Source organism: Homo sapiens, chromosome 16 (assembly GCF_000001405.40).
Source record: "Homo sapiens chromosome 16, GRCh38.p14 Primary Assembly".
Classification (NCBI taxonomy): domain Eukaryota; kingdom Metazoa; phylum Chordata; class Mammalia; order Primates; family Hominidae; genus Homo; species Homo sapiens.
Window position 1 is genome coordinate 71584096 of NC_000016.10, and position 12526 is coordinate 71596621.

A 12526-nucleotide genomic window follows, 5' to 3' on the forward strand; every position below is an offset into this window, starting at 1 on the left:
CGGGGACATTCCTAATACTTTCAACATCCTCCTTTGTATCTGGCCCAGCACTTTATAGAAGCCGTGTTCAATACTCATTAGCCAGTTGGCAATAAATTACAGTACATGATACAGAGGGGGAAAAATGGTGGAAGAAGTGGTAATTGAAGGGAAACCAAAGTCTCTTCATATTTATTGTATTTGTAGATGGTGGGGTGAAGAATTTAGGAGGGATTAAGAGACCAGGTTGGACTTTGATAATGTATAATGCCTTACATTTATAGAGGGCTTTGTGGTTTGATCTCCCACTCATTATCTCAATTATCTTATGTCATTCTCTCTTTCTCTCTCTCTCTCTTTCTCTCTCTATCTCTCTCTCTCTCTCTCTCTCTCTCTCTCTCTCTCTCTCTCTCTCACCCCATAAGCTAGACAGGGAGAAGGCTGTCAGAATGGAGAGGTAAGCCTGGTTGAGCTTTCTTTTTTTTAATGAAACTATTTATTTATTTAAAGATTTTCACAGCCAGGGTGGTGGCTCACACCTGTAATCCCAGCACTTTGGGAAGCCAAGATGGGCGGATCACCTGAGGTCAGGAGTTCGAGACCAGCCTGAGCAACAACCCTGTCTCTACTAAGAATGCAAAAATTAGCTGAGCATGGTAGCACATGCATGTAATCCCAGCTACACTGGAGGTTGAGGCAGGAGAACCACTTGAACCTGGGAGGCAGAGGTTGCAGTGAGTTGAGATCATGCCACTGCACTTCAGCCTGGGCAATGGAGTGAAACTCTATCTCAAATGAAAAAAAAAAGAGATTTTCAGAAAAGCTGCAGATAGTAGAGTTCCCACATACCTCTCACCCAGTTTCTCCCTTTTCAAACATATTATATTTACCATGGTAAATTCTTAGTCACAACTAAGAAACAAACATTGGCCCGTTAATATTAACTAAACTCCACACTTTATTCAGATCTCACTAGTTTCTCCTACTAACAACCTTTCTCTGTTCCAAGATCCCATCTGGGATATCACATTATATTTGGTGGTCATGTCTCCTTAGTCCCCTCTGGTCTGTGACAGTTTCTTAGACTTTGTTTTTCATGACCTTGGCAGCTTTGGTGTAGAATATTCTTGAATTTGGGTTTGTCTGATATTTTTCTCATGGGTTCTGGAAAGACCAGTTGAGCTTTCAGAGTTACAGCCACTCATTCCACATCAGAGCTCTAAAGGTTAAAAAAGAAATAGAATCTTCATCTGTTTGCTGATTGAAATGCTTGCGGGCCACTTCCTCATGAAGCTTAGCAAATAACATCATCCTGTTTGTTTTGAGCTTTGCATAACCGTTTAAACCATGGCCATTAACTCAGTCATTTTCATTTCGTTGGAACTTAGTGTTCCTTCACTTGTGAATGGTTAAAACCTGAACCCCACTCTAGTTCTTAGCATTCATCAAGAAAGGCTGTCATTTGTACTCACAGAGGAAGCCACCAAGCAAATACACCTAGGTTCCTGGGAAATCATTCTGCATTCTTGCCATTCTGACATTCAGAATAATCTAGAGTCCAAACCATGGTCCAATCTATCAGCCGACCTCTGGACCACAATGTCCTATTATTTTTATAGTAACACATTGTTGATTGTGTTTTTCTTAATTGAAATATAATTCACATACCATAAAATGCATCCTTTTCAAGAGTACAATTCAGTGGCTTTTATTATATTCACAAATGATACAACCATCACCACTATCCAATTTCAGAACCTTGTTATCATCCCAGAAGGAAACCTTATGCCCTATCCCATTAGCAGTTACTCCCATTTCTCTCTGTTCCAGCCCTTGGCAATCACTAATCTACCTTTCACCTCTATGGATCTGTCTATACCAGACACTTCATAAAAGTGGAATCACATAATATGTGGTCTTTTGTATCTGACTTCTTTCACTTAGCATAATGTCGTCAAGGTTCAGCCATGTTATAGCATGTACCAGCACTTCATTCCTTTTTGTGGATGAATAATATTCCATTATTCACATGGACTATGCCACATTTTGCATATCTATTCACCAGCTAATGGAAATTTGGTTCATGTCCTAGTTGACTATGTTTTGGTAGCTGCTCAGTGTTTACTAATTGACTCAGTTCCTGGTGTCACACCTTGTTTTCCTTGTTAATCCCATGTCTAGCCCACAAACAAAATATAGCCAAACAGTGGCTATAGCTAAAAACAAACACAGGAACACCAAAAGATCACCTACAGCCAGGCGCGGTGGCTCACACCTGTAATCCCAGCACTTTGGGAGGCCGAGGCGGGTGGATCACGAGGTCAGGAGATAGAGACCATCCTAGCTAACATGGTGAAACCCCATCTCTACTAAAAATACAAAAAAATTAGCTGGGCATGGTGGTGGGTGCCTGTTGTCCCAGCTACTCGGGAGGCTAAGGCAAGAGAATGGCCTGAACCTGGGAGTTGGAGCTTGCAGTGAGCTGAAATCACGCCACTGCACTCCAGCCTGGGCGACAGAGCAAGACTCCATCTCAATAAAAAAGATGACCTTTACAGAAACCATTGCTGGTTTTTCTATCAGATGCATACAGTAATGGATTCACACATATTTACTGAGTATCTACTACAGGTTAAACGTTCTATGTCCTACAGATGTAGGGGTCAAGAAGATAGATACAGACTCCACTGTCATGGAGCTTAGAGTTTAGTGTCACAGATAGACGTGAAGCAAATTATTATAGAAATTAATATTTCAATTGCTATTAGAGTAAGTTCCATAAAGGAAAAGTGCATGGAGAATAGCTTGGAGTGAGGATACGGGTTAAAGGAGTCTTCACTGGAGAAGTGGCATTTAATTTGAGTTGGAAAGATGAGGTTTTGGGCAGAAGGGGGGACAGAGATTCCAAACTGTGAAAATAGCATGCTGAAGCCTTGATGGGCTAGAGGCCTGAGAGAAAGTGGTGGTGCAGGGTGAGTAACAGGGGAGTCATGGACAATGAGGCTAGAGAGACGCAGAGGGAGCTGGCTGGACTGTGCTTATGGGTAAAGTGATCAGTAGCTGTAGCAGCTACTTTTCCCCAAAAAACAAGGCTTGAACTGTCTCTCAACACACCAGGGCATTTAGAAATCCTACGAGCTGCTCAAAAGTAGGCAGTTTTCCTTCCAGTCCCAAAAGGAGTAATTTTGGTCCTAAACCTTATTCTTGCCCATGGATAACATATCCTCGATGTTTTTGTTATCCACTGATATGTTGGATGTCTTCTGTTTGCCTCCTTAGATCTACTCTTTGCCCTTCTCCATCCTTCTCATTGCTCCATGGAGCTGCCCTGCAGGAACCCAGTCAAAGGGGTCTCTTGACCATTGGGGGTCACTGGCAGGAGATTTGAAAGGGAGATGTGCAAAGTTGAGCAATTCATCCTCGGCTCCCTTCTTGTTGGGTTGCATCTTCCAGAGGCCACTGCTAGTATCAGGAGGCTGTTTTCATACAGCCATTCTTTCTGGGTCCTTTGAATCACTTCCTCCCCTTGTCCCTTGAGGCTTCATTGGGGCCAGCTCCCCTGTTGTTTGCTGTAATCCCTCTTCACACCTTTTATGGTAGACTTTAGTCTCCAAAAATAACTGCAGCAATACCCCTATCCCACATGCTCTTCAGCAATGTAACCTTGCCAGGTCCCCAGTGAGACGTAGAGTTTATTTCTCTACCCTCTTGCCTCTGGCCATGCCCTGTGGCTTCTTTGATCAATGGAAGTTGGGGGAAGTGGCGCTGTGACAGTTCCAGAGATAGGCTTGTTACTGTGCCGACTTCTGCTTCCTGCTCTTGGCACCCTGAGCATCCATGTAAGAAATCCAGTTTACTCTGCTGGTGAGAGAGGACGCAGAGAGAAGCACTTAGGTACTAGACAGGTAAGTGAGGAAGCTACCTTGGATGTCCAGCCCATCTGAGCCTTCAGATGACACCAGACCAAGATGGCTGCAACTGCATGAGAAATCCCAGGTGAGATTCACTCAAATATTCCCAGTCAATATTCTGAAGTACAAGACATCAAAAGTAAATTATTTTATGCCAGAACATCTTTGCATATGTTTCCTTTATTAAATTCTTTTCAAATTGCCAAGTTTGTGCACAACATTTGTTTCCTTCTGGGACTCCATGACCACAACCCCAAACCACAACCAAAAATGCCTGGAAACCAAAACCCTAACTTTTCACCTGGATCACAGGATCCTATGAGTAATAAAGGTTGGGATAATCCTGAAAAGCCATCAGCTTTAGGTCATCCTGCATACATGGGTCTCTATTCACCCTATTTTAAACACAGAACCTCAGTGTTTAAATCTCAGGACTTTTCACAAGCCACTTTCAAGAGGAGAGATAGCATCCTGCTACATATTGAATTACTTATACTCTCAAGAAAGCGTCGTTTGTTTTTTTCTTTTCCAGGCTAAACAAATCAATTTTTTGTAGCTTCCTCCAAGATCCCATAATTGGTCAGCCCTTGCATATTATTCCTTGTCCTTCCCGGAAAACTTTCATGAATGTTGGTACCCAAAATGGAGCCCATTTCCTCTTGTAAACATCTAACTAGTTCTGTAAATAAGAGGAACATATATAGATGCAGCTATAATATGTGTACAAAGGGAAAGAAAGAGATTATTTTCCCATCAAGCCTGATTTCTGAGCAATCAACCAAAAATATGGTTTAAATAATGACATGCCTCTGCCTCTGCCTCCGCCTCCGCCTCCGCCTCCGCCTCTGCCTCTCCCCACGGTCTCCCTCTCCCTCTCTTTCCACGGTCTCCCTCTGATGCCCAGCCGAAGCTGGACTGTACTGCTGCCATCTCAGCTCACTGCAACCTCCCTGCCTGATTCTCCTGCCTCAGCCTGCCGAGTGCCTGCGATGGCAGGCGCGTGCCGCCACGCCTGACTGGTTTTCGTATTTTTTTGGTGGAGACGGGGTTTCGCTGTGTTGGCCTGGCTGGTCTCCAGCTCCTAACCGCGAGTGATCTGCCAGCCTCAGCCTCCCGAGGTGCCGGGATTGCAGACGGAGTCTTGTTCACTCAGTGCTCAATGGTGCCCAGGCTGGAGTGCAGTGGCGTGCTCTCGGCTCGCTACAACCTCCACCTCCCAGCCGCCTGCCTTGGCCTCCCAAAGTGCCGAGATTGCAGCCTCTGCCCGGCCACCATCCCGTCTGGCAAGTGAGGAGCGTCTCTGCCTGGCCGCCCATCATCTGGGATGTGAGGAGCCCCTCTGCCTGGCTGCCCAGTCTGGAAAGTGAGGAGCGTCTCTGCCCGCCCGCCATCCCATCTAGGAAGTGAGGAGCGCCTCTTCCCGGCCACCCATCGTCTGAGATGTGGGGAGCGCCTCTGCCCCGCCACCCCGTCTGGGATGTGAGGAGTGCCTCTGCCCGGCCACGACCCCATCTGGGAGGTGAGGAGCGTCTCTGCCCGGCCGCCCCGTCTGAGAAGTGAGGAGACCCTCTGCCCGGCAGCCGCCCCGTCTGGGAAAGTGAGGAGCGTCTCCGCCCGGCAGCCACCCCGTCCGGGAGGGAGGTGGGGGTCAGCCCCCACCAGGCCAGCCGCCCCGTCCGGGAGGTGAGGGACGCCTCTGCCCGGCCGCCCCTACTGGAAGTGAGGAGCCCCTCTGCCCGGCCACCACCCCGTCTGGGAGGTGTACCCAACAGCTCATTGAGAACGGGCCATGATGACAATGGCAGTTTTGTGGAATAGAAAAGGGGGAAAGGTGGGGAAAAGATTGAGAAATCGGATGGTTGCTGTGTCTGTGTAGAAAGAAGTAGACATGGGAGACTTTTCATTTTGTTCTGTACTAAGAAAAATTCTTCTGCCTTGGGATCCTGTTGATCTATGACCTTACCCCCAACCCTGTGCTCTCTGAAACATGTGCTGTGTCCACTCAGGGTTAAATGGATTAAGGGCGGTGCAAGATGTGCTTTGTTAAACAGATGCTTGAAGGCAGCATGCTCCTTAAGAGTCATCACCACTCCCTAATCTCAAGTACCCAGGGACACAAACACTGCGGAAGGCCGCAGGGTCCTCTGCCTAGGAAAACCAGAGACCTTTGTTCACTTGTTTATCTGCTGACCTTCCCTCCACTATTGTCCTATAACCCTGCCAAATCCCCCTCTGCAAGAAACACCCAGGAATGATCAATTAAAAAATAATAATAATAAAATAAAAATAAAAATAAAAAATAAAAATAAATAATGACATGATATACAAAACCTTTCTCTCTCTTGCTGACCTATTTGGGATCCCTGGCCTTGGGAGTTCCATCCTTTGACCTTTTACTCAGGCCTACATTTCCACTGCAGTGAGAGCTCTGAGCACAAGACAGGGCTTTTCATGAGGAAGATTATCTTGGGGTAGCACAGTATATTGAAGCATCCCCTATTCTGTGCTTTGGTGGGTAATACAAGGTCTGCTTTCCATACGAGACAGGAACTGAGCTTAGCGTCTATGCTGTAGAGAGGCCTGAGTAGATCCCCATGGTCTGTAGTTCTGAAGAATTCTGTCAGCCAAGAATCATAGAATGCTCCAAAGGTAAAAGGGTTTGTCATGGCCATCCCCCAGGGAGGCCTCAAGACCACTCCTTCCCTATTCTGCCTGGAAACAAGTGCCAGAGGTGATGCAACTCAGCAAACTTTATCCAGATTCACTTCCAGAATCTGCAGAAGGGACAGTACCATCGATGGGGCCAAATGACAGTTGAATTACCCAAGTCTGGGAACATCAAGTTCCCGCAGCACCATGGGCAAAACAAAGATGAGACACAATGCGGTCTCCAGGATTGGAGAAGATGAGTACATATGTTTCGTGGGAGGACTGGTAGGGACAGAGTGAAAAAGAATGAGATGGGATAAGAGTGAACCAAGTCAAATAAGAGGATTCAGGTTTGAACCAAGTCAAACCTGGAGAGGTGGGACAGGAGAGGTGGGACATTGTGCCTACTTGTCACTTAAAGCTCTTCCATAGCAAGAGTCCTGCAATCATGTTTCATTAATACACTCATTCAGTAAGTGTTTATGAGCCAGGCTCTGTTCTGAATGCAGGGGATACTGCAATGAAAGAACCAAACCAAGCCCTACTTTCATGAAGCTGACATTCTTGTTGGGAGAGAGAAGTAATAAATAGAGAAACAGATGTTAGAAGCCACCAATGCCATAAAGAAAAATAAAGCAAGATGTAGGGTTAGAAAGGGCAGTATTTTGTGTATAATCACTAGAATTGTCCCCTAAGGTAGTGATGGTTAATGGGAGATGGGAATGATTCCTGTGGATGACTGGGTGAACAATGCCCCAGGCAGAGGGAATGGCAGGGGCAAATGCCTTGGGGTGGGACTGCGCTTGGTGTGCTCAAGGCACAACCAGCCAAGGGGGCTGGGGTGAGCAAAGCAGAACGTGCAGGGATGTCAGAGTGAAAGTGCTTTGTCTTGCTTCCAAGAGGATGAACAAGGGCTACTGGTTCAACACAGATAAATTTGTTCTCGTGTACCCGGTTGTATAGATGTCAACTAGTCACCTATGAATGCCTCTGGATATGAAGGGATGGGAGAGTGTGTCTGCCCCACTCAGAAATTAAAATATTAATAAAATCCACAGTAGGCATGTGCTGCTAACAGAGTGGGTCAGCAGGGTCACCCTACTCTGTGGGAGTTGGGCTCAGACTTGTGGGATCAAACAAGAGATGCAGATGAGGGCTGTCCTTCTGCTCGCATCTGCACAGAACCAGGGCTCTGCACTCCTCCCAGCACAGGGATTTCACACACACCCATCTCACCGAAGGACCTTCAAATCCAGTCATTTTCTTGGCCCTTCTCTGAGAGTCCTATGGACAGATGGTTTCAAGGAACAATGATTTCAGTCCCTGTTGGGTTCTATAGGAGGAATTTGAAAGCTATTAGTTAATTAGTTAATTATTTAATATCCCACTCTTTCCCCCCCCCCCCCCCCCCCGCTAGAGACAGGGCCTCACTCATTTGCCCAGGCTGGAGTACAGTTGCACAATCATAGCTCACTGTAGCCTCGAACTGCTAGGAAGCAATCCTCCCACCTCAACCTCCTGAGTAGCTGGGACTACAGCATGTCCCATTATGCCTGGCTTATTTATTTATTTATTTATGGTTGAGATGGGATCTCACTATGTTTCCCAGGCTAGTCTCAAACTCCTGACCTCAAGCAGTCCTCTCGCTTCAGCCTCCCAAAGTGCTGGGATTACAGGCTTGAGCCACCTCACTGGTTTCAGTCTTGTTCTAGAAATTAGTTATGGACCAATTGACTGCTAGATAGGATTTCTCTCTTAATCAGGTTTAACAAGGGTGAAGTGGGCAAACATAGACTGTCACAACTTAGGAGGAAATTATCCGGGGCCAATTGGATTTCATCTATCCCCAACCCCCCACCGCACTGAGTGCTGGGCCTGGGCTTCTTCCATCCAAGCTTAGACAGCTTCCCTTTCTCCTCCCTCCTCTCCATCCCATGTTCTGGGCCCACCTTCTGTATCCTGATCTTAGTGAATGTCACTGGCTGTTGGACAGCTTGTTGTCTACACAGGGCAGTTCAATGAGTCTCCAAGTTTGGTCTCTAAAGTGGGAAGTCATCTGCAGGATGGTGGCAGGAGGACTATGAGAGTGACAGAGCTCCTAGCCACTTTGCCCCCTCCCAGGTCCCAGTTGTAATCCTCTGCTTAGGGAAGGGTTGTTCTGCTTTTTCATCTGAGCTGTCTTTTCAATCCATTGCATGTAAACTATGAACTTTGCTTCATTGGATTTGCCAAAAGCCTTTTTCCTTTCCTTTTCCAAAGTGAAGAGAATCAAAAGCTCTGACTTTTATAACTATTACCTCTAAAATGGATTTCAATAATCCTTTTTGGAAATCAAAGACTGAGTGGAGATTATTCCTCTGCTGTAACAGTCCTCAGCTTCCCTGTGAAATGGGTACTTCTGCTTGTTCAAGGACCCAAAAGGCTGGTGTGGCCAAGCTTGGAGAATTGGGGGGAATGTGGTAGGATGGTGGTGGGGGAGCCTTCTGGATAGCTTAGATTTTACTTCAAGTACAAGGGGAAGCCCTCTGAAGGTTTAAAGGAGGAATGTGAAGTTTAAGATCTTTCTGGCAATGAAACATGGAGAATGGGCTCCAGGGGCGAGCAATCCAGTTGAGTTTACATTGCAATGGTGATGAGGACAGGGATTTTTGTGTCCCCTAAATTGGAATGCAAACATTCCTCAATTGGGAGACTCCTAACGGCAAAACCACACCAAGCTGCTGTCCTCCTGATACTGAATATATTTTGTTCCCAAAGGATAGTTACCTGAAAGGACCAGTAAGACACCCTCCAACTGAGGTCATTCCACCTATTTCTGCAAAATTACTTTGAAGGGTCAAATATGAGACCGAGATTCAGTGGCACCTTTCTCAGCCAGGTTTTTGCTTTGTTTGTTTTGTTTGGTCTTGTTTTTTGGAGGTGATCTTTTTTCTTTTCTGTCTCTCTGTCTTTCTCTCTCTCTCTCTCTCTCTGTGTGTGTGTGTGTGTGTGTGTGTGTGTGTGTGTTGTGTGTGTGTGTCTTCCTCCCTCCCTTCCTCTCTCTCTCTCTATTGGTACAGTACTTAAGTGGCATTTAAGAAATCAATAAAGCAACAAAAATTATTAACTTTTGTGACCAAAGTGACCTCCCTTCAGCCCCCAGTTGATTAGGCTTTTTTGTTTCCTGGCTGGTGAATATCAATAGGCAAAAGTAAGACCAAGTCAACCTGCCCTGGTTGCTTTTTGTTTTATTGACATTTGCTGGGTGCCCTTGATGTGAAAAGCATTGTGCTAGTTGCTGGGGATAGGTAGATAAGACACAGGCATTCCCAACACAGAGGTGAGAGGACAGTAAAAAATGATTATCACCATGGAGGTCTGTAGGAGGTTCAGGATGAGCCTGGAGGAAGAGAGGGGACCATATCTACCTTGAGTTGAAACTTGAAGGAGGAATTACAGTTTGCCAAGTGGACAAACAAAGGAACACTGGACGTACTGCCCTCCAAACCTCCTGCCCTCTAGACCTAAAGCTGGGTGTATTTGCTCCCTTCTCTTTACAAAATAGTTTTTGGTCCCCTGGAACAAAAGATCAGCTTTAGCTCCCTACCTCTGCCAGAGCAAATATTGGGAAATGTTGAGCTCGATGAGTTTAGTGTTGCACCTTATTGCGTGTGCCACAGGGATGAATCTATTCATCCCCCTCACCCCCACTCCCTCCACAAATGAGAATCAAGTGGCCAAAGCAAAGCTAAATCCCAGTAAATGAGATGGGGAAGAACTAGGGGCCACCCAGGGATGCAAGAGGGCGACAAAAGAACCAACAAACAGTGACCAATAATTGATCCTGCAAAGTTCCTTGTACAAAGGCCCACAGAATGTGCAGAGATGGTGATGTAATATTGCCTGATGTCAGAGCAACAATCAATAACTATAAGAAATGTGAATGCTGGCTATTCTGGGGTCTCCCAGGAACTCCTGTTTCCTTTCCTTAAAACAAAACAAAACAAAAAAAATAGATAAATAAGGGCCGGGCAAGGTGGCTCACGCCTGTAATCCCAACACCTTGGGAGGCCAAGGCGGGTGTGTCACCTGAGGTCAGGAGTTCGAGACCAGCCTGGCAAACATGGTGAAACCCCGTCTCTACTAAAAATACAAAAATTAGCCAGGCATAATGGCATGTACCTGTAATCCCAGCTACTCAGGAGGCTGAAGCAGGAGAATCACTTGAACCCGGGAGGTGGAGGTTGCAGTGAGCTGAGATCCCAACAGTGCACTCCAGCGTGGGTGACAGAGTGAGACTCTGTCTCAAAAAGAAAAAAAAAAGCAAAAACAAAAAACAAAACCAAAGTACACAGGCAACAAAGAGCACAATACCTCACATTTCAATACTAACATTGAATGGAATTGAATATAAATGGCCTAAATGCTCCCACTCAAAAGATACAGAACCATAGAATGGATAAGAACTCACCAACCATCTCCTGCCTTCAAGAGATTCACCTAAGACATAAGGACTCATATAAACTTAAAGTAAAGGAGTGGAAAAAGACATTTCATGTAAATAGACACCAAAAGCGAGCAGAGGTAGCTATTCTTACAAAACAAACTTTAAAGCAACAGCAGTTAAAAGAGACAAAGAGGAACCATATATAATGGTAAAAGGCCTTGTCCAACAGAAAAATATCACAATCCTAAACATATATGCACCTAACACTGGAGCTCCCAAATTTATAAAACAATTACTAGAGGCTGGGTGCAGTGGCTCATGCCTGTAATCCCAGCATTTTGGGAGGCCGAGGTGGGTGGATCACCTGAGGTCGGGAGTTCGAGACCAGCCTGACCAACATGGAGAAACCCCGTCCCTACTAAAAATACAAAAAATTAGCCAGGCATGGTGGTGCATGCCTGTAATCCCAGCTACTCAGGAGGCTGAGGCAGGAGAATCACTTGAACCTGGGAGGCAGAGGTTGCAGTGAGCCAAGATTGCGCCATTGCATTCCAGCCTGGGCAACAAGAGTGAAACTCCATCTCAAAAAAAAAAAAAAAAAAAAAAAAACTCCACTGTCAACACTAGACAGGTCATCAAGACAGAAAGTCAACAAAGAAACAAGAGATTTCAAGTATACCTTGGAACAAACGAACTTAACAGATATATACAGAACATTTCATCCAACAACTGCAGAATACACTTTCTACTCCACAGCACGTGGAACTTTCTCCAAGATAGACCATATGATAGGCCATAAAACAAGCCTCAATAAATTTAAGAAAATTGAAATTATATCAAGCACTCTTTTAGACCATAGTGGAATAAAACTGGAAATCAACTCCAAAAGGAACCTTTAAAACCATGCAAATACATGGAAATTAAATAACCTGCTCCTGAATGAGCACTGGTCAAAAACAAAATCAAGATGGAAATTTAAAAATTCTTCAAACTGACAATAATGACACAACCTATCAAAACCTCTGGGATACAGGAAAGGCAGTGCTAAGAGGAAAGTTCATATCCCTAAATGCCTACATCAAAAAGTCTGAAAGAGGCTGGGCATGGTGGCTCATGCCCTGTAACCCCAGCACATTGGGAGGCCGAGGCGGGTGGATCATCTAAGGTCAGTAGTTCAAGACCAACCTGGCCAACAAGGTGAAACCCCGTCTCTACTAAAAATACAAAAATTAGCTGGGCGTGGCGACGTGCGCCTGTAATCCCAGCTACTTGGGAGGCTGAGGCACGAGAATTGCTTGAACCCAAGAGGCGAAGATTGCATTGAGCTGACATCGCACCACTGCACTCCAGCCTGGGCAACAGAGTGGGACCCTGTCTCAAAAAAAATAAAATAAATAAAAATGAAGTCTGAAAGAGCACAGACAATCTAAGGTCACACCTCAAGGAACTAGAGAACCAAGAACAAACCAAACCCAAACCCAGCAGAAGAAAGGAAATAACGAAGATCAGAGCAGAACCAAATGAAATTGAAACAAACAAACAAAAAAAAATACAAAAAATA

General features: G+C 45.4%; 1 long non-coding RNA gene across 1 annotated transcript in view; it reads right to left on the reverse strand.

The window, feature by feature from the left end:
• LOC105371334 (uncharacterized) overlaps window positions 1-12526 on the reverse strand; it is a 37613-nt gene that overhangs the window by 327 nt on the left and 24760 nt on the right. The window lies entirely within an intron of this gene.